At 40.7% G+C, this 26,544-nt stretch overlaps 1 annotated feature.

The window, feature by feature from the left end:
- Positions 7,519-8,718: an enhancer, noted in NCBI's record as "P300/CBP strongly-dependent group 1 enhancer chr20:10686119-10687318 (GRCh37/hg19 assembly coordinates)". NCBI's record gives its function as "activates an origin of replication core promoter dependent on BRD2, BRD4, P300/CBP, MED14 and CDK7 cofactors, with strong dependence on P300/CBP, by STARR-seq in HCT116 cells {active_cell/tissue: HCT116}" and the evidence as "EXISTENCE:reporter gene assay evidence [ECO:0000049][PMID:35650434]".

Raw genomic sequence — 26,544 nt, 5'->3', positions numbered from 1 at the left:
CATAACATATTCATCATAACTTGGGAGAAGGTAAGAATTTGTTTAAGTCAATTCACTGAAATAGTCCAACTACATTTTTTGTAATTCATTTCAGAGTTAGTTTTCCAGATACGAAAAATATGTTCTATTACTTGAATCTACATGTTTTGATGATTGCGTTGAGTAGGTGAGTCTAATACAAAAATTCTCAAACCTGAATATTAGAGTTATGGGGTGGGAGTTGGGGAAGAAGTTTAATTAACAAGCAGATTTCTGAGACCCAGAATTAGATTCTATAATAATTCAGTAGGTCTAGGGCATCTCAAATCCCATAGGCGAATCTGATGCAGAAGATACCTGTATACCACATTTTGAGAAATATGGTATGAGCAATTGGCCATGGATCACAGCTCTTTCACCTGGATCAGAGATCCCTAGATTTATTGAAGATTACTTACCAACTAAGATGAAGTATATTGATTGCATTCATAGTGCGAAGTAATGGTTGCTTTGTGTGCACACTTTCTGCAATGTGATTCTGTGGATCCTCCCGTCAAGAGGAAGATTCTACTTCCCTCCCTTTCGAGTCTGGGCTGGTCTTGTGATTTGCTTATAACTTTGCAGTGAAAGTATCAGCACATCAGCTCCAAGTATGGGCCTTGAGAAGTCTTGCATGCTTCTGTCTCTCAGATCCTTGTCACCACCATGGGAACAAGCCCAGAAGAGCCTGCCAGAGGATGAGACTGCATGGAAGAGATTCCAATTGTCCCATTCAAAGTGACCTTAAATCAGCCTACAGTCAGCCAGCCATTGAACGTGTGAAAGAGCCCAGCCTAGAAAAACAGAGCTCCCTATCTGTCCCACAGTTGGCTAGAGACTCACAGTGAGCTGGCCAGTGTCAGAAGTATCCAGCCAAACCAAGGGCAATAAATCTTACTGTTTTAGGCCACAGAGTTTGGGGTAGCTTGTTATGTAACAGTGCTAACCGACACATAAGGCAGAGTACCTACCATCTGTCCTCTCTTCAGGCAAGTTTGAATGAGAAAACAATTCCTTCATAGGAAGAAAATACATCTGTTATTGTGGCAGATAAACCCATGGGCAGACTCTTACCATTTGATTTCACTGGGTTTTATCATGGCCCTATAGTTCTCCCAGCACTGGTGGACCAAGGTGATGGCCAAGGAGAAGTGATATCCAGGCCCCAAATAAAGTAATAGTTAATAACAAAAAGCAATGTTATTTAAAAGCATTGCAAGATTAAAGACCCAAGCCAAAACTTAATGAAGAATTTTTTGTGTGTGTTCCATCAAGGTCTTGCTGTCCATTCACCATAAAAGAACATAGTGAAACTCTGTCTCTACTAAAAATACAAAATAATTAGCTGGGAGTGGTGGGTGTCTGTAATCCCAGCTACTTGGGAAGCTGAGGCAGAAGAATCGCTTGAACCTGGGAGGCGGAGGTTGCATTGAGCCAAGATAGTGCCATTGCACTCCAGCCTGGGTGACAGAGGGAAACACTGTCTCAAAAAATAAAAAAAAATTTAAAAAAAGCAAAAGGAACACAACAGATACAGACTTTATTCTTTTGAATGATAAAGGAGACATGTAATCTGGCATTTTTTTTCATGTTTCCTGTAAAATCCTTCTAGTCCACGTGAATTCTTCAAAAGCATTTACAAATCAGATCTTTTAAGGCTCCCTAAATGCAAAACCAAAATTCAGACTTTTCCAATAATTCAAATATGGCTCTGCTGAATCTCACTGCTGCTAAATTATTGCAAGCTGTTTCATGTGTCTAGAATCCAAATGTTAGAAAGATCAGGTCTCATAAAAGAAATGCATCTTTGGGGTCTTAGAATATTCATCGTTTTGGCACCAGTTGCATTACTCTCTTCTTGTAAAGAAATGTCCATGGCACAGGGAACTCTTGGAGCAGTGGGTCGCAGAATAGCAAGCATGCCATATGCTCAGCAGTTCACAAGCACAATGGCCTTATGTCAAGGGTGACATTTTGACTAAGAATCTCTTTACAAACTCGACTTTACATGAATGTAATGGGTATGTCACATTCAAAGGCAAAAAGAGTTACTTCTTTTGTTTGACAGATAATTATTTCACCCGTACAGAAGAATGAACAAAGCCTGTCAAAATCATAGCCTGTCCTCATCGCTGGCCATCTACAAACACACAAAAAATGGAAATGAGACTAACAAAGTCTATTTGCCCATTAGAGCAAATATTGACCCCACTGGCCCCATATGCTTTCCATACCTTTCTTAAAGATTGCTCCTTATAACAAAATGACCAAAAAAGCCAACAAAAGAGCCACAAAGCTACTAAGTCACATTCTGTAGCATTTTATAAAGTTACATATGCCAGAAAAGAAAACAGGGAGAGAAAGCTATATCACAGACTCCAAGACGATTTCCCACACCTTTCAACAAATTTCCTACCAGGTATGAGTCCCAGGTTTTTATAATCCTAAAGCAAGGAAAGTCCTATGGTTTCATAATCCTCATACTTGGAAGCAAAAGTCTAGAAGTCAAAATATTTCTAGATCATATTTTCAGAAGAAGGTTTTCTCGCCATTTTAGGTTAAACCTACAGAGCCTCAGGCTTTCTGATTATACGGATCCTGACGTCTGGCTGTTTTACTAGTAGCTTAGTGACTTCCAGTTCACGTTTGCCAACACTCTAGGAGTGCCCTCTTAGTGTGAGCGGTCAGAGATGATTAACTGAAAAATATTTCCAAGTTAAACATTGATTTGCCTCTGCCTCCATTTATTCCTATCTTGGATGACCTTTCTAACTCTTTTTTTTAAACAAAGAAAGCAGGCACCAGTGGCTTTGCGTTTCTCAGTGAAAAGCAGAATTCTGCATTTGTTAGTTTTTGTGGTTTTATCTTATAAAGAAATGAGTAGGGTATTGGGGCAATCCAAGGGAGACTATTTGCTTTTCTTTGAACACACTCACACACACACACACCTACACACATAGATGCACACTAACTCACACACACAGGCACACAATACATATAGACTCATACATACATACACACATTCATGCACACATATACACACAGGTGCACACACATACACACAAGTGGCCACACACACCTATACACACAGATGACTCACATACACACAGACACACACACACAGACTTACACATACATACACACAGATACATACAGAAATACATACACACCCCCCACCCCATACTCATGACTTGAATGAGGTCATTCTGTTATGTTTCATTTCAGTTACCATTTTACTTCAGTATTTGATCTACACCAATTCAGAAGGTATGAAACTAGCTTAGCTTATGAGGGAGCTGAACGCTCTCCTCACAGTTTTCTTCCTACACTTTAGGAAAATGGCCTTATATATTTAAAATAGCTATCTCTAGGTCTCAAGCCCCTATTTTTGAATCCATGACCAAATCCTGCTGCATTTGAATCTCAGACTATTTCCAAAGCCCATAAAATTTTATATTTTGATAGACTTCATTATATTGAAAGAGAGAGAGTGAACATCAAGGGTAAAGGAGAAAGAATACTATGCTGAGGTCAAACGAATGAAGCACAGGTATCTGTTATGTTATTTCTTTATTTCCAACATATCCAGCTGTCTCACAGAGGCTAACATAAAAACCAAAACATCTGTGCACATGAAAGATTTTTCTTTTTACTAAAGATATATTGTTTAATTTTTTATATATTTTTTTCATACAAATATAATGTACCCTTATTCTAATTTTTGATGTCCTTATAGAATCTGGAATAAGTTTGTATAGCAAAGATAAGAAACAACTTCCTGGGAAAAGGGCATTTATGATCTAAAATTATCTAAAATATCGCATACCAAAAAATAGGCCAAATGTGTTTACATCTTTTTCTTTATCTTTTTTTTTTTTTTTTTTGAGATGGAGTCTCACTCTGTTTTCCAGGCTAAAGAGCAGGGGCACAATCTCGGCTCACTGCAACCTCTGTCTCCCAGGTTCAAGTGATCCTCCCACTTCAGCCTCCCAAGTAGCTGGGAGTACAGGCATGCACCACCACACCCAGCTAATCTTTATATTTTTAGTAGAAAAGGGGTTTTACCTTGTTGGGTAGGCTGGTCTCAAATGCCTGACCTCAAGTGATCTGCTGACCTCAGCCTCCCAAAAGTGCTGGGATTACCAGTGTGAGCCACCAAGCCCAGCCTCTACATCTTCTTCTGATGAGAAATTTCGCACGTGAATATTGGTGGATGTTAGGAAATTATTGTTAATATTTTTAAGGTATGATAATTTTGTTGCAGTTTATGCTTTTTTAAAGTATTATCATTTTTTAGAAGGTAATAGCAATCGATAAAATATATGAAGTCAGAGATTTGTTTAGGAAGGTTAGGGAGTTTTGCTGCAAGATTAACTATAATTAATTATTGAATCTGGTAAAGGGTACTTTAGTGTCTGTTTAAAAGTTTCTATAAGACAATATTTTATGGAAAAAAATATTTTTCTATTGGCTTACAATCTTCCAAGTATGAGTAGATATCCTTCCTTTAAAATAGAACCTCTTTGGGCTAGGCACAGTGGCTCACACCTGTAATTCCCACACTTTAGGAGGCCAAGCAGGGAAGATGGCTTGAGCCCTGGAGTATGAGACCAGCCTGGACAACACGGTAAAACCCTGTCTCTACAAAAAACACAAAAAAGTTAGCTGGGCATGGTGGCATGCACCTATAGTCCCAGCTGCCCGGAAGGCTGAGGTGGGAGGATCACTTGAGCCTGGGAAGTCGAGGCTGCAGTGTACCATGATCATGCCACTGCACTCCAGTCTGGGTCACGGAACAAGACCTTATCTCAAAAAATATATAAATAAAAATAAAATGAAATAAACCCTCTTTGCATCTGACATTTCAGAAACATTTCCAGAGCAATAAGCATAACACATAGAAGGTGAATAGTGTTTCTTTGAACATTAAAACCAATTACCACCTTTTCTTGATAGTCAGAGCAAGGGTGTTCTAAGTTCTTTGACTTAACTGCACTCAGATTTTAACTTTAGGTTTCAACTGCTACACATTAACCACTGCAATTTCACTCCACCCTTGCTATCTTTTCTTAGTAATCATCCATTCACCCTTGTCTGAGCCACTCTCTCATAATGCTTTTCTGGGTAGCAAAGTATGGAGCAAGGCTTATGTTGATTTTATGCAGCCCACATTCCTGGAATGTTAGTACTAAGTACAGAATTTGACCTGTAACACAGTGAAGAAAGAGTTCAAATGCAAACTCCAAAGATATCCATCCCACAGAATAAATGCCAATAAGCAATTTCCTTTTCCCAGCCTACCAGAGATTTTCATCAGATAGCCCATAACAGACAGAACCCATGCCAATATTTTATAACCCATAAAATTTCTTCAAGCAATCGTACAGATTTCCAGCCATCCTTTGATCAGTCTTTGTAACAATGACTCTGGGCCCTCGCCTAAAAATGATTCCTAGATCTCGATATATATACAAGGGAAAAGATCTGGCCTTCAGAAAGCCTCTCATTAAAGCGCTAATCTGTTCCACCACATTCTTCCAAGACACAGCGACCAGCATTCTAGCCAGCCTCAATGGCCAGCCCTAATAAGACTGATAGAAACAGCTTAAGTAATTGGATTGGTATATGGGATTGAATGTCTGACAACAAAAGATAGCCATCTCTATTCGACCACCAAATCTTTGTTCCAGCAATGAATTCATTTAGCAATGTGCTTAGAGGCTCCTGAGCCTGGGCAGAAATAACAGACTGGGGACACAAAAGCTAGGCCAGCTGATGAGCCCAGAGACAGAGGCTGCGCAGTTCCAAAAAGTTAATTACAGTGGACAAAGGCAGCAGACGATGACTTGTTGAATCATTACTATAATCACATTACTGCACTGCTCTGAAGTTCCCAGCCAAGGTGGCATTGCTGCTTCTCATTCTGCCCATGTACTTCATACTCATTTGCCACCTGCAATTTACTGTGTGTGACTTCTCAGTTGACATGCTTTTAACAGCTCAGCTTGTTTGTGTATGCTAGACATTCTTAAATTTTTCATATTTTTCTATCAAAAGAGCCTGATAGGAGAAAAGTGTTAAAGTAGCTGGTACAGAAAAAGTTGGTGTTAAAATTATCTATTTGTCTCAAAATTTGTGATTCAGGAAAGCACTATCATGCATTAGTGCAACTATTGCAACATAATTGCAATATCAAAATCATATATTTATGTATATAACTTTAGAAAGGTCTAAGTAGGGTTAATATAATATAAAACAAAACATCGATTTACAGCTTTAGGTAGGTCTAAAGAAGGTGAATATAAATCAGAATATTGACATCTAAAGCCCATGCTAGGGTGAAAAGTATCAAGGAGTGCCCATACTCAGTGATTCTGAAGCAACATTATTAGTTAATAGTTTCCTAGAAGTTTTGACATGGTTATTTCTTGACCACTGGGTATTCAGTTTCCTCAGCAGTGTGACATAAATTATTTTCACTTTTAACTTCTCTGGGACTGTTTTGGTCTGTCTGGAAAACATACCAGTCAGCGAGTGAGAAGAGCATCTCATTTTATAATAAACAGAGATGGTGGTACAATAATCACAGCTAAAACGGTAATAACACAGCAGCAATAATAATAGTAGAAGTGGTATTATTAATTAATAATTATTTTAGATAGCCAACTTAGAGTGGATTCTAAATATTTCTAAAGGAAGGTCTGATTTAGCCATACAACATTCTGTAAGAGGACTCAGGCATCATTCTACATTAAAATGGAAAGAAATAGCAAAGCCAGGGTGCCTTTGCTTTCTCAAACAGTGGCACCAAAGAAGCCCAAATACAAATGTCTTGACATCTAGTCCAACACTCCATGTCTTTAAAAAGCATCTTTCCGCCAAGATTCCTTGCCCAACTTGGCAAAGATATAGAACCAGCTTCATAGTCCAAATTGTGACTTTGGATTGCAACTGAAAATACACAATCATATTTTGTCCAAAGTTGGCATGTTTTTCCGTTCCCAACTTATCATCCTGCCAAATGGAGAACGTAGTCGCAAATGCTTGGAACTATAACCATAAAAAAAGGTTGGAATATTTCTAATCAGGGATGAACATATTTTTTTATTTTAACATAAATCATGAAGAGAACCTTAGAAGGATTTTTGCTCAGACCTTCTTGGCAGAGATTTCTGGGGGCTTTGCTGATGTTTTTGAGGAGAAATGTTCAGAGGAAAGGACACTGGTACGTTTCCAAGCCAAGCGGTCACTCCTTTGCTGGGAGCAGGTGATTCCCGCATCCACACAGCCTCCAGAACACACCACGTCTGTGACCATCACATTCCACAAAACTGACGTTACCTTGATAAAAACAGGTCCCCAATTCAACAAAACATCCCAAACACCTGCCTAAATGCCTTTGTCTCTTTTTTGTTTTCTAAAAGGGACTGAAGTTGCAATCGATCTGTACGTCTGGCAATCAACTGCAGGATATTTGCCGTATCCCTACACACAATCCCTACACACACGCGGAGCTTAAGTGGATCCTGCGCTCTACAGAAAGCTCCTCCACAGTGCGGTCCGTCGGGGCCTCCGAATCCCCCTCCAGGCCTCAGGCTCCTTCCGTTCCCACCATCCTTTCCTCATTCCACATGCCCTTCCTGTACTGGATACAGCTTTTCTTTTCCTAGGACTACGTATTTCTTCCATCCTCCCCAGGATCATAAAGCCCTCAAGGGTAGGGATGGTGAGGTTTATGATCTTCCCATTCCTCACAGTGCCTAGCACAGAGTGGCATCCCATCAGTGTGTCACGGACCCATTAGGATGGACTGAGAACATGAGACAGACAGAATCTGTTGTACTTAGGTACAACGTGAATAGGCATTGATGACTTGCCTTCGAGGTCAACGTCAGTTTACCAAGAAAATAATAGGCTTTCAGTTCCAGTGTTTGCAGTCTTTCTAAATCATCCAAGGTGTGACTGGAACATGACCACAGCTTTGTATAAACCCCAAACCTGACAGCCACTCACAGTGTTACAGGAAATGTGTGTCCACACATAGACATACAAAGCCTCTGTCTTGGAGCGGTAAACACCCGCGGCGTCTGTGACTAACGGTGAAATCACTTCTGTGCCGAGCCGACGCCCTGGCTCCTCTCGCAGTGCCACTGGGACAATACAGGTAGGCATGACATGGCTGAGCACAGGTGGACGGATGTCCCGTGGCCTCAGTCATTTCACATGTCACTCTTTTCTTACCTATCATTCTCAGCCTCACCCCCTGCCCCTGCTTGGCCACGGAAGGCTGCTGCTTTTTGAAGGTATTCTGGAAAATCTCTGATCAAAGGGTCTTTCCCAGCTTCTTTGTAGCTCCTAGTTGGTGCTGGAATGAAGTCCTACCAAGAGCCAGGCTGATTTCTGCCCCTTACTCTTCTGCCTGGAGCATTCCCAGGCCTGTTTTTCATTATCAAATTATCTGTCCTTCCCATTGAGCACATGGTCCAACATAGACACAGTAAGTTGGCAGCCTAAAACACACAGGCCACACTGGGCCTGCAAGGGGATTTTGATTCTTCTTGACACTATTCGTTTGTTTCATAAATTCATCACCAATGTTTTTAAGTCAAGAAATTTTCTATGTCAGTTCAGATGTCTAACCTCTTTTTAAAAATTGGAAGGTTTGGCCACCTCTGGTTGGCATTTCTACCTGGCACCAATCAACTGAAGCTGAGAAATGGCTGTCTTTTTAGCTGGGGAAGCAGCACTCCACTTCTCCACTGTTCCCATCCATCCCCACTGTCCCCATCCATCCCCACTGTCACACACTTGACCATCCCATGAGCTCACATATGTACCTTGCATGGCAGAGACGGGAGAGCAGTTCACAAAACATGGTTTCTCTTTCTGAACACACAAGACTATATATCCTTATTTGTACACCCATGGTTATAGAAGCATTATTCACAATAGCTAAAATGTGGAAAAAACCCAAGTGTTCACTGATGGATAAATGAATAAGCAAAAACGTGGTATAGACACACAACACAGTATTATTCAGCCTTTAAAAGGCAGGAAATTCTGAAACATGCTACTACCGGGAAGAAGCTTGAGGACGTTATGCTAAGGGAAATAAGCCAGTCACTAAAAGATGAACACTGCATGATTCCACTTACAGGAGATACTTAGAGTAGTCAAAATCATACAAGATAAAAAGAGTTCTGGAGATGGACGGTGGTAACAGATGCACAACATTATAAATGTGTTTAACACCATTGAACTATATTCTTTAAAATGGTTAAAATGGTAAATTTTTTGTTTTGCATATTTTATCGCATTTGATTTTTTTTTTAAGATTATAGTCATATGACTGAGCTCTGGCCAGAAGAATGTGTATAGCAGTGACATGTGCCAGTTTATGGTGAATGCCATAAAATTTCTCACATGTGATTTTCCATGTTCTTTTCCTCTCCATTTGATGCAGTCAAACCACATGTTGAATATGGCAGAACCATCATATGGAAAGATCCCAGGTTGGAAGATCCACTTGCTGACTAGAACAACTTTAGATAAGTAAGAAATGAAAATACTTCTATTATGTTTCAGCCATTATGCATTTTGGGTTTGCTATAGCAACTAGCAGAACTTTAATGCACCTACCTTTGAGCATCTGAGTCTGGGACCTGATTTAATACCTATAGGCCCATCGTTCTCATCTTACATTGAACTACCCATGACTAATCCCTCTGAAAGGCACCATTTCTTGTAGAAATCAACCCACTATGAACTTCAAGAGATGGTCTTCCTCCCTGGACCTCTCTAGTGAGTGGCTTTGTCCAACATTAATTTGTATAACTGTGATTGTGTCTGAAGTTGCCTGACTCTTAACTTAAATCTTTACTTTCTACTCTAGAAAGTTCTGGCTCTGGTCTTCATGAACTTCTTAGAAAAGTAATGGATGTTTATAAACAATAGAATCATGGCGTATTATTCTGTTCTCACATTGCTATAAAAAATACCTGAGTCTGGGTAATTTATAAGAAAAGAGGTTTAATTGGCTCATGGTTCTGGAGGCTGTACAGGAAGCATGATGTTGGCATCTGCTCAGCTTCTGGGGAGGCCTCAGGAAACTTACAATCATGGCAGAGGGCGAAGGGGAAGCAGGCACATCACATGGCCCGAGAAGAAGCAAGAAAGAAAGAGGGGGTGAGACGGGCAGATCACTTGAGGTCAGGAGTTCGAGACCAGCCTGGCCAACATGGTGAAACCCAATCGCTACTAAAAATAAAAAAAATTAGCCAGGCGTGGTGGTGCATGCCTATAATCCCAGCTACTTGGGAGGCTGAGGCAGGAGAATTGCTTGAATCCAGGAGACAGAGGTTGCAGTGAGCCGAGATCATACCGCTGCACTCCAGCCTGGGTAACAGAGTGAGACTCCAACAAAAGAAAGAGAGAAAGAGAGAAAGAAAAGAAAGAAGGAAAGAAAGAGAGAAAGAGAGAGAAAGAGAGAGAGAAAGAGAGAGAGAGAGAAAGAAAGAAAGAAAGAAAGAAAGAAAGAAAGAAAGAAAGAAAGAAAGAGAAAGAAGGAAGGAAGGAAAGAAAGAAAGAAAGAAAGAAGGAAAGAAAGAAAGAAAGAGAGAAAGAAGGAAGGAAGGAAAGAGAAAGAAGGAAGGAAAGAAAGAAAGAAAGAAAGAAAGAAAGAAAGAAAGAAAGAAAGAAAGAAAGAAAGAAAGGGAGAGGGGGAGGTGCCACACACTTTCAAATGACCAGATCTTGGGAGAACTCTCTTACTACCACAAGGACAGTACCAAGGGGGATGGTGCCAAACATTCATGAGAAATCCACCCCAATGATCTAATCACCTCCCACCAAAACCCACCTCCAACCTTGGGGATTACAATTCAACATGAGATTTGGCAGGGACACAAATCCAAACCACTAGAGTAGTCTGGTCCTTTTTCCTAGATTCCCCAGCCAGAAGACTGTAGAAAGAGAATCAAACTCTCCTGGTGTACTTTCGAATGCAGTGCACTTGACAGCACCATCCTTCATCTCTTATTGCAACTGACACTATTATTTAGCCTTGACCTCACCTCCACAGTCTCTAGCAATTTATGGAACACCTATCACACACAAGTACTACATCAAGTATTTTATGTAACTTTTTAAAGTTTATTTTATAATAAATATACAAGATTGTACTATTATCTCCACTTTTAAGATATAAAAATTGAGACAAAAAGAGTTGAAATTCCTCAAGGCCACACAACTGGAAAATGAAAGGTAGGCTATAACTCAAACACCTATGCTTTCCAAAACCATGTTATATTTCCCATGACAAGCTTATCTTTTTCCCTAGAGGAAAGCACTTTTGTGTCAGTTAGCTGTTTCTAGGAAACAAATCACCCTAAAACATGGTGGCTTAAAACAACCACATGTTTAGCCCATGACACTGTGGGGTGGCAATTTGGTCTGGGCTCAGTTGGGCAGTTCTGCTGGTCTTGGCTGGGCTCACTCATACATATGAGGTTAGCTGGTGGATAGACAAGCTAGATGGCCTCACTATCTTATCTGGGGCCTTAGCCAGGAAAGCCAAAATGACTGACAAGGCAGGGCCTCTTTTCATATGGTCTCTCATCCTCCAACAGGCTAGCCAAGGCTTGTTCCCACAGTGGCGGCTGCAGAGTTCCCAAGAGCCTAAGAGCATCAAGAAAGGCAAGTAACCAAAACCAAGCGATTTTCAGTTCACCGCCTATGTCACATTTGCTACTTTTCCATGGGCCAAAGCAATTCACATGACTAACTCCAGTTGCAAATATCAGGAAATAGACTACTCAATGAGCAGACCTTCAAAATTATATTGCAAAAGGGCATGCAGAATGGAATGGGAAGAATGTATAGACATTTTCAATATTTCAGGTAATTTAATTTGTTTTCTTCTAGTATTTTCCTCCATATTGCTAAATAATATTTATATATGGCTACCACTTAAGTAATTGACTTCAACTACTATCTTCCAGTTTATGATCATGACAGTTAAGAATTTGACATTTTTACCCTTTTACTTTCTACAAAAAATTCCCATATAACTTTCACCCAAATTCCCTAAATATTAACATTTTTTTACCACAACTATTTTATATGTATTTTTTCCGAAAACCATTTGAGAATGGGTAGCAGACATGATTCCTCTTTACTCCTAAATATTTCTGTGTAAGTTTATAAAACCATGGCTTAAATAACCACAGTACAATTATCAAAACTCAGGAAATCAACTTTATAATACTATCATCTAGTCTACCTTCTGCTGTCCAATATGATATACATTCACTACACATGGCTATTTATATTTAAACTAATTAAACATCCAATCCCTTGGTCACACTAGCCATATTTAAACTGTTCAGTAGCCACATCTGATTAGTGGTTGTAATGGGTAATGCAGAGAACGCAGCATCACAAACAGTCTTATTGGACAATGCTGGTCTATATCTTTCAAGCCCTGTTGGGATATAGTTACAGATTTACAGAGATGAAATTTATATCTGTTACATGAGGCCACAAGGTAGTAATTATTACCTCCATTTAAAATATATATATAAGTAGAGAGTTTATTTGGGCCAACCTTGAAGATTGCAACCCAGGTACATACATTCAAATTGCCCTGAATATATACTCTGATTAGCAGCAATTAAAAATGGAATTTTAAAGGCAAAAAAAAAAGGGTCACAGGGCATGGGCTGATACAAAGTTTTCTGTCAAGAATTCTCTTTGGTTTACAGCAATAATATTGATTAGTGATTGGCTCTACATTGTTAAGCTGTAAGGTATGGGTTACAGTGTCTGGTGCAGCACTATTAGGTTAATTTATAGCTACTTATAGCACTAGCAAGCAGTTTCAAGAGATGAACACATAGCTCAAGGGGGAAGTAGGACATGATTTTTGTCATTTTAGTGTCTCTTTGAGCTTAATAATTTAAAAGGACTCAGGCCGGGCCTGGTGGCTCATGCCTGTAATCCCAGCACTTTGGGAGGCCAGGGTGGGTGGATCACTTAAGGACAGGAGTTCGAGACCAGCCTGGCCAACATGGTGAAACCCTATCTCTATCAAAAACTACAAAAATTAGCCAGGCATGGAGGCACACACCTGTAGTCCCAGCTACTCAAGAGGCTAAGGTGGGACAATCCCTTGAACCTGGGAGGTAGAGGTTGAAGTAAGTGGAGATCATGCCACTACACTCCAGTCTGAGTAACAGTGAGACTCTGTCCCCCCAAAAAAGGACTCACATTCCTCAGATAAAAGTTCTTTTCTTTTCTCGTTTCCCCCTTTTGATCAAAAATCTTTCTTCTTGAAAGCATCAATGATCAAAATTTGAGTGTCAAGGTGTTCTTTGTTGCCATGAAAGCATATTTCCAGGTAATACTGTCATAGTAGAAATACCATGTACATAAGAATTATAATTAAAAAGATAATTTGTATGCCAGAACAAAAAAGAAAAAAAAATTTTTCTTTGAGAAGTCAACTAAAAGCACCATGAAGAAAATTAAATCCAGGTTCTTCTTTAGAGATTTATTATAGCCAGGAAGTAGTGCAAGATTTAGCCAAAATTTTAGGCAAATAATAAAATTCAAAAACAATGGAGAAAGCTAGAATCCACCTCCATATTTTAGATAGAGAGACAAAATTAGAAAAGTAAACTGGGTCCATGACTGTATAATAAATCAATTCTGTATTCAGAGACCCGAACACAAGCTTGATTGTTTTAACACTTCTCTTTTACCATGACATTTTATTTTATATCTTAGTTTGGGTTATCCAGAAGCAGAGCCTGAGACAAGAATTCACGTACATGTGGCTTATTAAGGAAGAGCTCCCAGAACAAACTAGTAAAAGAATGAGGAAACCAGAACAGGGAAGGAGCCAGCCAAGGTGGTGATTTCAGGCAAAGTCCCGGCCACAGGCCCATCCTGCAGGAAACTCCGAAGGATAAATTATACCAGAGAGTTTGGCCCACCTAGAGATAGGGAGCTAGGCCTTCATACACCCACACCTGTTAGTCATTGGCTATGTAAACTACCAGATACTTCTGGAAGTCCACTTGTTGTATGGGCAAAGCAGTGCTGGTAGCTTAAGGGCCATCCTCTGAAGAAAGCTAATAGTTCATGCTGCTAGAATCACAGTGCACACAAGCTGAGGCATGGGGCCACCCTGAACCAGTAAAAAGGGTCCAAGAACATCTGGGTGCAGGCCCGGCAAAAACCATGACAGACTATTCTATCTTATTATTCTTCATAAAACATGTTCATTGAACATCTCCATTTGCCTTTTGTATAAATAAAACTTGAAAATCAAGCTGATTCAGAATAAATGCTCATATATTTACCCTGGCCTATTTCCACGAGGTATTTTCTTGTGCCTACAATATCAGTTGAAGAAAAATGGGTGGGGTGGGTGGGGCCACCCTTGATAAGAAGCATAAAATCAAAGGGCAGGAAACATGGAAAACAGATTCAGGGACAGCCTAGTACAAATCAGTCCACTTGTTAGAAGCGAAACCCCTCTGTTGGAGAACTGTCTTCTCTTCTCCTGCTGTCTACCCAGACTGCAGAAATCCACACAGCTTTCTTACAAAAAGTGGGGATTGCTTTTAGGATACAAGAATGTCTCACAAAACTAGAGATGATAAATCAGTGGGGCATCACAAGGAAGCTGGGGAGCCATCAGCAACAAACACAGGTTGCCTTTCCTTTTTTATTCCTTTGTTTCGCTATACAGTCTTGGATCTCTGCTTCTCTATGCAAATGGACCAAAAGTGCCTGTTTCAGTTCTGAAGTCCACAAGCTGTGTTGACTCCAGAAGTAGATCCAGAAGTATAGATGTCTCATTCTGGTTCCTTTGTTTAAATTCTTGGTCAGGACAGAATCCAATTAGCCCAGTTCTCATGACAGGGGTCGACCTCTGATTCAGTCATCATATCCCAAAAGAAAATAGGATTACCTTGCATAAAGATGGTATCAGGGGCTTGAGCAAGGGTGCAGGTTAAGTTAAAGAATATGGCAGACTTTTTTTTCTAATGTCCACAGCAATATTTCTGGTCCCTGATACTCTTCAGAATTTTGCCACTCTTCTTCACTCTGAGTGGTGGGGTTTGGGTTCCCTTCTCTTGAATCTAGGCTGAGACTTTTGACTGCTCTAACCAATACAATATTGCAGATGTGGTGCTACGGGCTTCCAAGGCTGCTAGGTCATTAAAAAGATACAGCTTCTGCCTGATATTCCTCTCGATCTTCCTACCTTTTCCTCATACTCACCCTTGGGAACCCAGCCACCATGCTGTGAGGAAGCCTATGCCACATGGAAAGATTACATGGCCATGTTCCCTCCAACAGCCCCAACTAAGATATCAGCTGACAGCCAGCATCAACCACCAGACCTGTGAGCAAGGAGCCCCAGATGACTCCAGCCCCAGCATCCAGCCACTCTAAATGACCTTGAATCAAGCAGACGTGAGCTGTCACTACAAAATTCTGCCCACATTATAGATTCATAAGCAAAACAAATGTGCCATTGTTGCTGGTTCTAGCCACTTGGTGGAGGGTGATTTGTTTTGCAACCATAGTAATATCTCAATAAGCTTTGGCGTTCCCATCTTCTTGAACCTCAATGAATTTGTAACCTTGGAATTTCTGACCCCAGTGTCCTGATTTTCTCTTCTGGTCCCCTCACCTCACAACTACCAAAACTAAGCAAGCATGATTGCTGGGAATATGTGGAAAAGCAGTCCCTAATTTATTATGTATTATGTTTTCTATTCCGTTAAGGGGGATTTAAGATACTCACTTCCCTCCCAGAACATGCAAGGGAGAAAACAAAAACTACCATGTACATGTCAAGGAAGAGTATAAAGAACAAGCAAGCATGGAGCTGTTCAACATGGTCAGGCGTGGGCTTTTGAGTTTTTATTTTCATTTGTTAGCATGACAAAACATATAAGGGCAAATCTGAACTCCCCACCAAATAACCTAAGATTCTTTCATATATACTCTTGTTTAGAACCATTTAGATGTACCTCATTGAACCACTCCCTCTCTGAAGCCTGTGGGTTTATAAAATGCCAGGAACACCTCTTGCACACCATTCTGAAACTTGATATATGATCACACTGCAGGAAACTTTATGAATGATCACACATGCTCTTCATTTTTTTTCTTACTACATTGGCAATTGGTAGCACCTTGGACATCACCCTACTTTATTTTCAAAACATCATTAACTCATTAGTCAATTGGGTGTACTTGGGGCTACTATTTCCAAGGAGTCTTATGGTGGTTTCAGGACAAATATTTCTCTAGGAGTGGACTGCTTTGTCCAGTGCAATGATTCTCAAAGTGGGGCCTCTGGGCTAGTAGCATCAGTATCACTTGAGAATTTGCTAGAAATTCACATTCTTGGGCCTGGCACAGTGGCTCACACCTGTAATCCCAGGACTTTGCAAGACCAAGGTGGGAGGATCACTTGAGCCCAGGAGCTTGAGACCAGCTTGGGCAATATAGCAAGGTCCCATCTCTACAAAAAAATTTTTTTTAATTACCCGGGTGTGATGGCACTCACCTGTAGTCCCAGCTACTCAGGAGGCTGAGGTAGAAGGATTGCTTGAGCCCAGGAGGTCAAGGCTGCAGTGAGCTGAGTTCATGCCACTGCACTTCAGTCTGGATGTCAGAGAACCCATCTCAAAAAAAAAAAGAAAACTCAAATTCTTGGACCTATTCAGACCTACTACATCAGATTCTCTGGGAACGGGCTTAGTAATCTGTGTTTTCACAAGCCCTCAAGATGATTCTGATGCATCTTAAAGTTTGAGAACCACTAATCTAGTTACATCCAATAGAAATCGCAACAGTGACTGCAAAGAGAGAATAGAATTGTTAACTAGGTAGAAAATTCTAACAAGGTAATTGAACAGGCAAAAAGGAAACCATTAGGTGTCAAGGAGATAGCAACTGTAGGCAGCAGCTCCTAGAGCAAAGGGAACAAAGGGAAGAGATTGGAATCATTCAACTTACATTCTCAGAGGAGAGGAGGGCCCTGCAGAACTGAAAAGGCACCATTGAGAAGGATCCGAAGCTCAGCTGGTGCTGTCCTCAGGATTCACAGTCCCTCCCACAAGCTGGACCCAGGCATCTTGGAAGGACACGGGCAGCTGATGCTGGTCTGGTGTCTCTAAGGGAATGTGATAATGCTTGTTCTGTGAGTGCTGAATACACTGCAAACCAGAACCACCTGCTGCTACCAGAACTAAATGAGGCTTCCTCAAAGAACAAACGTTGCTCAGGTGACACAGGAAGGCATTGCTTTCTTCTCCAATATTGCAGTTTCAGTCTAGCACCCCCTACTGGCAGCAGCTGGCAAGGCTGAAACGGAACTAACAGGGTCTCCGCTCCAGCGGCCCCAGAGTCACAGAGAAGGATATAAGAGGGAGGGTTTAGAGTTGAAAGACAACAGCTTAATAACTGGCAAAGTTATTTGGAGCTGTTATTTCCAAGGTATCTTATATGGTCTCAGAACAAGTTCCCTTTTGGGACAGGCCACCCTCTGCCTAGAAATCTGACACCCCGAGTACATTGAGTGGTTTGCAGTGGCGTATTCACTGGAAAGGGCTCCTTCAGATAACAGAATACGCTTTCACTATCCTCTTCTTATTGTGAAATGGCAGGGAATTCTTTTCCCCACTGCGGAGGATGAAAGCCAAGGAAGAAAGAAAGAAATGGGATTGCTGAATGAGCAGGGATTCGGGGTGAGGGGAAGGAACTGAAGGTTACTGGTGTCTCAGGGCCTTTAGTTGGTTCAGACAGCGAAACCTGCTCTGTCTTCCTCCAACATTAACCTTCCCAGGAAGTGACAACTCCTTGGATTTCACAGAGCTGGTTGTGTCCAGCAAGCATGCTCTTTGGCTACTTCAGAAACTGTCTCCTGTGCTTTAAAAAAAAAAGAAACTCACATGTCCTTGAGGCCTCCTCTGACAGCTGGCAGCAACACCTCTAGTTCAGGTTGTTCATCCCTGCACCCGTACCTGTCAGGTCCCCCATCACTTTGAGCTACATTCCTTCCTTCCACGCTCTGGCTCTTTTAGGAAACAAAAGATGATGCTTAATGGAGAAAAGAATATGCACAACTTTCAATGAAATTGAAATGAAATTTTGAGGGGGAAGAAAGTAAATCACTTATCAGGCAGTGGAGAATAATGAGGGCTTTTTCATGAAGGTCACAGACATCCAGAGATACCTTCATATTACTCAATCAGCCCCAACCCATACCTCTGCCACATGACCTCAGTAAATGCCAAGAAGAATACTTTGAAAAGCCCAGGTAATAAAATACTTTTTTACAGAAAGAAAATGAAGATAATAAAGAGGTTATACTGTGTGCTAGACCTTGAGCCATCCGTCCTTGGCAGTTCCTAGAACTCCAGCTTTTTCTCAGAATTTTTAAGAGCAACGCCTTCTCTAAATCCTGACTCTAAAACTTGTCTTGAACGCATTTGATTTCATATACAACAACTGCTTTGCCTCAGTTCACAACCATCTGTGAATCAAAATGAATTTAAAAGATTTATCACAAGGTAACCCCCCTTCTCCTAACTTGCCTCTTTCTACAAATGTCAGACTTGAGGTTCAACACATCATCCAACTTTGGAAGGCTTCCTAGGGAATAAAAGATAAAGTGCAAACTTGTCCTAACATTCAATGTCATCCAGAGTCTGGCCACATCTCCTCACCATCTTCAACCCTCTGTCACCTAACCATGTACAACTTTATGTTGATAAGCTTTCTTTCAGCATATATATTCCATTTCTTTATCAAAATGCTACTAAACCTTCAAGGTATATCCCTTTGATGAGTCTTTCTCCAACTGAACCAGCCTGCCTCTGGCCTTTTCTCTCTTCTGCACTACCTCGTATCAACTAACTCTGATGATGATTGGCACTTCATCCTAGAATGCCCACATAATCCTGTTGTTCCATCTGTCTTTGCTCTTCAGTATGAATTATATATAAAGATAAGAACTGTATTTTATACAGCTGCATTAGCACCTAATATATTTTAAATTGGAGCATAAATATGAATGCATATGCCAGAGTTCTTGGTTGAGAACAACAAAAACTGGCAGCAACAGGAAATATAAGGTACCTAGAAGTCTAACAAAAGATATGCAAATATTTTACAGATAAATCCTTTATTGAAGGGCATCAATAAATAACTTTAATAAGCAAAGAAATACACCATGTTCACAGATGAAAAACTTAAAATTGCAAAAACATCGATCTGCAAATTAAAATTTAAATGTAATTTCAATGAAATTGTCTACCCAGTTTTTCATGAATCTTGACAATCAGGTGATAAAATCTATACAGAAAAGCAATGCCCCCAGAATAGCCCATTTTAGGACCAGGCATGGTGACTCACACCTGTAATCCCAGCACTTTGGGAGGCCGAGGCAGGTGGATCACCTGAGGTTGGGAGTTCAAGACCAACCTGGCAAAATGGCAAAACCCTATCTCTACTAAAAATACAAAAATTAGCTGGGCATGGTGGCAGGCCCTTGGAGCCCCAGCTACTCAGGAGGCTGAGGCAGGAGCATCACTTGAACCTGGGAGGTTCAGGTCGCAGTGAGCCAAGGTCATGCCACTGCACTCCAGCCTGGGCAACAGAGCAAGACTCTGTCTCAAAAACAAAAACAAAAAAGAATAGCTCAATTTAAAAGAAAAAAAAATGAAGACGGATACAGAAACTCGTTCTACCAAATGTTAAACATGTTTTGTGTATAGCAATAGTGATGAATGTGGTATGGTATGGGCACAGGAATAAAGAAAGGTCAATGGAACAGAATAGAGACCCTTGAAACAGTCACATCCATACATTAAAATGTGGCAGGTAACAGAAGAGGCACCACAGATTATTGAGAAAACAATGAACTATGTATGAATGTGGCTGGGGAGATAGCTTGTTAGACTGCTGTCCTTGCTTTACATCATGCAGAAAATCTATTCCAGGTAGTCTAAGGGCTCAATGGTGACAATCCAGGAGAATTTCTTTATGGTTTGAGAGTAATAAAGATTTTCCTGACAACATGTAAAACACACACACATGCACGCACACACACACACACAGAAATTACAAAAGTGGAGATGAAAAAATTCAACTACATTAAAATTTAATATTTTGTATATCAAAAGATACCATTTTAAAATGAAAAAGTCAAGTCATACACTGAAAAAATATATTGTCAATGCTTGCAATGATAGAGTCACTCTACAGATAATTTGAATAACTTACACAAAATCTGTAAGAAAAAACAACCCACAAAAAAAAATTGACAAAACATGAGATTCACTGAAGAGGAAATTCAAACGTCTAATAAATAGCTTCTGTAAAGTAATCAGATGTACAGAATGGAACAAAATACCATTTCTCATTCATCAAAAACTGGTAAGAAAAATGGTTATGTGTGATAACAGCATTAGAAGAATATGAAACCATAAGACACAGAATTGTTACATAGTGGGAGGATTGTAAATCGCTGCAACCATTGGGGAGAACCATTTGGCAGCAGCTAATATATTTGAAGGTAAATGTATGCAGCAACCCAAAATTCCGCTCCGAGGAATATACCCCAGGTAATGTTCCTAGACAATGCTAATGCTGCTTCAAGGGGCAAGTTACTAAAGATTACCTATGGTAGTAATGGATGGCCAACTCCCCTTTCTCAATGGAGGTAACATATGAGCTAGAAGCTCAACTAAATGTCCACTTAACATTTCAAGGTCTTTAAAAAGAACTCTACCACCAAGTATTCATTCCAGTGGTTCTCAAAAAATAAGACACTTAACAATTCTGGTAATTTTGATTTTTAAATAGTGAGTAATAGCATCCAATAGTGTTCTGTGTCTTCAGTAGCCACTTAGCACCTCACAGTCAGAACACAGATATGATTTAAATGGGCTTAATTCCCAAGGATAAAATATCATAAAAGTGATTTTTTACCCTGCTAACTATGATCCAATTGAGAGTTTACCCCACATAAATTTTAACATCAGGGAAAAGGGTCATCTGAATTAAAATGTCATCATACCAACAGTTTTACATCTGTGTCTCACCTGAGAACCCTGGTAAATAGAACCAGGTTTTCAAGAATTAAAAAGGCTCAGCTTTTGACATGAAATGCTTAGAGACCAGGGCAATTTAGATTCCACTTTTACAGCCAAATGGATTAATTATTCTGTCCACTTTATACCAAGAAAGAGAAGCAGAGGCAACTGCAAAAGGAAAACTAGGCAAGATTTCCAACAAGGGGCCTATCTTTTGTCCTTTGCTTTTAGTGGCTTCCAATGTGACCTATTAAAGGTATACTCTTGGCCCCAAAAAAGGAGAAAGAAACTATAGCTTTGTATTCCCAACTCATGTATCTTTGCTTGCAATCTTGCATTCAATTTCAGTGTAATATGAAGAGGCCTATTCTTTTACAAAAAGTTCCCTCTTCCCACCAGGCTTGTTTGTTATTTTATGTGTTTCTGCATCATTTGTAGGCTTTGCTTTGATCTGCATTCCTCCTGGATGTGGGGTTTCCTTTTCAGCTACCAAAAGGAAAGCTGGTCTGTTTGAAAATCTGTTTATTTGGATTTTTTGCTAGCCTAAAGTTCCTATCTTTATCAGGATGCGCAGAGCTCCGTGTCTGCCAGCCTTGGACATCACTAGTTTTCCCTCAGGAAAAGGCAACTTGGAAAAAATACAACTTGCCCGTCTGTATTTGGAATACTCTGGGAAAAAGGTTTTAGAGGTTTCAGTTTAAAACTTTAGGAAAAGATTCTTTACCAGATACATTTAATCAGCAGTGGCTTTTTCATGTTTAGACTGAGAAAAAATTGTTGCCTCTCTCAATATTTGTCAGGAATTTTCTCAGCAAGTAACTGCTTTCTTGCGTGCATTGCCAACTGCATCTGCATTTACCAGCACCATTCAAAGAGAAAGGAAACACAGGACCGTGTGGCACCCCTCTCCCCATTTAGGCCAGCATGGTCCTGTGGATCTGGGGAAAAAGAAGGCCCCAAAAAGCACATACAGTTGGCAATATCACATTATCACTGTCTCCAGAATATTTTCCTTTTAAAAGAAATGTTGGCCGGGTGCAGTGGCTCACGACTGTAATCCCAACACTCTGGGAGGCCGAGGTGGGTGGATCACCTGAGGTCAGGAGTTTGAGACCAGCCTGGCCAATATGGTGAAACCCTGTCTCGACTAAAAATATAAAAATTAGCCAGGTGTGGTGGTGCACACCTGTAATCCCAGCTACTCGGGAGGCTGAGGCAGGAGAATCACTTGAACCTGGGAGATGGAGCTTGCAGTGAGCTGAGATCCCTCCACTGCACTCCAGCCTGGGCAACAGAGCGAGACTCCATCTCAAAAAAAAATTAAAAAAAAAATAATAAAAATAAAAGTCAACATTCCTCCAACAGAAATGTAAGAATAAGACAAATAATAATTCTAAATAGAAAAGCCAACACTTGATTCAGGGATGGCTCCTAGGTTGCAACTAGCATCTCAGCTCTGGTTGCTGGGCAACGGCTGCATGAAGAATGTCAAGCATATCAGGACTCCTTGGGTATAAGGATCCATGGCCAAGTGTTAGGGACACCTTTCATGGCATGAAAGTGTGTGTCACATATAGGGTGGGATCAGCTGAATGCATCTAAAGGCATGTTGCTGGTGCTGTATAACTCTGCTTAAAGTGTGTTTCGAGGATGGGGTGGATTACTTGTTGAGGACAGGGTCACGGGTTATTTAAAGCAACCCATAGTCTACAATGTATTACCTATAAGTGATATTGGCTCCAGACCAACATTTCTTCCTAGGAATAGTTCTTCTTAGGAAGACTGAAACCGTCTATAGACAAAACATAGGGAGGAAATAAAAAGGCTCTCTGAATGGAGAAGACAGGAGACATTCTCTCACATCCTCCAATTGCCTCTTTGAGGGAGAAACAGGATGTGTTCCCCAAGGACCTCACGAGACAGTCAACCTCACGGATGGCAGTGCTCGGGACCCTCTCTTTGGAGGGTTAGCCAGAAGGATTCAACCCGGGAATCCAAACAAACTTAGGAAAACAATAGGCAGGACCAGGAAGGAATGGGAATTATTTGTCTGTTTTTAATAGAATCCTGCCTTCAAATTGCAGCTTTCCTCTAGGAAAAAAAAAAAAAAAAAAAATCACAGCTTTCTTTAAAGTTAAACATGAACAGTTTCTGGCCTCAAAAGATAGAGATCAAAATAAACTCCAGTTGTTGTCTAAGAACCACCTCTTTTGCAAGGACACCAGGCCTCACTCAATTTAGGCTGCCTTGGGACAGGTGGCAAATCCACAGAATGGAACTAGTTAGATAAGGCAATTCCACACTGAGGCTTCTCAGAGGACCAAGCAATTACAAATCCCAAATAGGAATTAAGATGGACTTGTTTACAACAAACTCTGGGCGGCTCTGATTTCGCAGTTTGGCCATCCATAGGGAGACCTTTGAGTCTCTGAGAACCAACAGAACCTTTCACCCCCTTCAGTTACCAAACCCCAAAAGTCCACATGTTGGAAGAAACCAGGACTATTGTTAAACCAGAAGGTTTTGTTTCGGCAGAACATTTAGATTGCATTTTATTCCTTTAAAAAAGGCAGTTCTAGCATACGTGTAAGTGCTATTTGTGAGGTAGGGCAAGCCGAATTGAGGATTTCATCCTGGCAGATCAGGAAGAAACAAAGGAGCCCTTGTGGAAAGTTTTGGTTTTGAGACTCAAACTTCAAAGGAAGCTCAGCAGAATGAACAAATTGTCAAAAAGATGATTGTTAGGAGGAGGATGTCTTCTTTCTCAAAAATTCCCCAGGTGCAAAAAAAAAAAAGCCATTGGCATACAGACTTTAAATAATTTACAAAATTTTATAATACATCTCACCCTCATCTTACCCCTTCATGTCTCTTAAGCTTAGATGGAACACAATACGCAATGGTGGCCCTCCTTAGAAGAACGTGGGCATCATAGACTCTGTTTTCCATAAAATCTCTTCCAAAAAGACCAATATTTGAGTCCTGTTTAAAAACATCTGCTGAGAATCCCCCATCTGAAGCCAGAATCCCAACTAACAGCCCCTGGATAATTTACTAAAGTTAATCCCCTCCCCTAGGAGATAAGCAAACGCACACACTCAAGAATCCTGAGGGCAGCAGGGGCTGGGATTGCAGGGTGGTCAGATCAGGGCTACTCAAAGTGTGGATCTCAGGCTAGCAGCCATAGCATCAACTGGGAGCTTGCTAAAAGGCAAATGCTCCAGCCCCACCCCAGACTTTCTGAATCAAACTCTTGGTAGGGGGAGGGATGAAAATCTGTTTAACAACTTCTGGAGGTGATTCTTAATGGAGACTTCACTGTGACAAGCATTAAGCTAGAGGGATCATAAGGAACTATCTAGTAGCTCTCTGAGAGGTCAGCCCCAGAAGGACTTTGAAAACAGCAGGAAGGACATTGAGAGAGGGCAGTTAGAAGAGAGTGGGTGCCTAGGACCTTGGAATGGAAAGGGAGATTGGCAATCATCACCCGTGCCTTGGTCTGAGGCCATAAAACCAACAAGTATACATTACCTTTGATCTTGGGAGGAACATCAGACCCTTCCTGCCACCCTTCTCATTTTTCCTGCCATGCAAAGGAAGGGCAGCCTATATTTTGGAGAAGTTTAATAAATATTGCCTGCCAGGGAATTGAGATTTTCATGGGGGTTCAAGGGCCACGAAACCTAAAGAAGGGTCTCAAATGAGAGCGGGTTCTTCACTAATCTAAGACCATCTCGATTTCACCCTCAGCAGCCCCTTCAACTCTATGGCTTATGACCTACTAGCAACCTCTCAAACATACACCAGTGCTCTCTTTCTCCTCACTCATCTCCGTCCTCTTTCCCAGGTGCATCCACTCAAGCCCAGGACTCAGCTCTCTGTCACTGAGTGTGGCCTGGCTGCCCACCCACACTATTCTCTCATGCAGAGCCAAGCTTCATCTAAGACTTAGTGTTACAGCTACTCAAGAGGTGTTCACTTCAACTCATCAAGTTTTTAACTGAGCAACTATTATATATAACCTGCTGCTTCACTCCCTGGTTAAGTTCTACCTCCCTTCCTCTGAAAATGCCATGCAAGCACAAACTTTGTCACAGATAAATGAAGCCTTTGAGAGATCAAATGTTCCAACCATAATGTAACGGCTCCTTTGGCCTTAGTTTGTGAAGTATTTTTATGATTTTTAGTTCCTACTCTGTTCATTCAGAACAAACTTCACTCACTTCTCATTTCCCTATACCCCTTGGTTGAGGCTGACCATAGGTCTCCATTCTACACCAAAACAATGATGACTATGCTGAAGATAATGGCAGTGGCAACTCAGACATGTGGTGAGCTCACCATGTGCCAGGCATTGAACTAAGCATTCTACATACATTATTTAAGTTTCCCAGCCACCTTATAAGAAAGGCACTATTATTATTTCCACTCTATGGATGAGGAAACTGAGGCTTAGTTACTTAACTGAGGCAATTTAAGTAACTTGCCCAAGATTCCAGAGCTCAGCAGTAGCAGAGCTGGAACTTTAACCCAAGTCTATCTGACTTTTATTCTTTATGCTTTCTTACCTCCATATTTATGAGGAAATAATGTGAAAGTGATTTTAACCTGTAAAGCACTATCTACAAGAAACGCATTTTTCTAAGGACTCTCCTGCTCTTTCTGGTCCCTCCATTACTCAACCGTATTTCCTACTTGACAAGCGTCAGTGTGGCATTTTCTCAGTTTCTCTCTCACACAACTCCAGATCCCAGTCTTATGTGTCCTACAGCTTCCTCTCACCTAACTTTCCTGGACCATTTCACCGTGAGACACACATTGGATGGGCCCTCTGCGAAAGAGAAGGCTCTGGTAAAGTCATTAATTCAGTCACATGCTTAGTGCATGGTTTGTTTAGCTAGAACGGCAGGCTTTAACCTTAGCTACACATTGGAAGATTTAAACAGTCTCAGTGCCCGGGCTGTAACCTAGACCAATTAAATCAGGATCTCTGGGGGGTGGGGCCCAGGCATCAATAATTTTTAAAGTTCCCTAGGTGATTCCAATGTACAGCTAAGGTTGTGCATGTTGACTACGGGTTTAATATCCCTGCTACTGCTCTGATATTTTTTCATGTACTCTGTGATTACAAAGCCCTTTGGGATAGACTTTACATTTGTGTTTCTCCAGTATGCCTCATGGACCAGCCTATGTTTAGGAGAAGTTTAATAAATATTGCCTGCCAGGGAATTGAGATTTTCATGGGGGTTCTTAAAATAATTTTTTGTATAAGGAAGTCGCCCTTAATTAGCCATCTGGGATCATTTATTCTCCAAATACTGTTTGGGTCCCGAAACAAGCCAGAAGAAATTTATTCTCTGAATATGGATGAAATTGCCCATGCTCTTTTGCTTTCTCTGTA

Source organism: Homo sapiens, chromosome 20 (genome assembly GCF_000001405.40).
Source record: "Homo sapiens chromosome 20, GRCh38.p14 Primary Assembly".
NCBI lineage: Eukaryota > Metazoa > Chordata > Mammalia > Primates > Hominidae > Homo > Homo sapiens.
The sequence above is the reverse complement of the archived record's forward strand: the minus strand, read 5'-3'. Positions and strand labels throughout refer to the sequence as shown.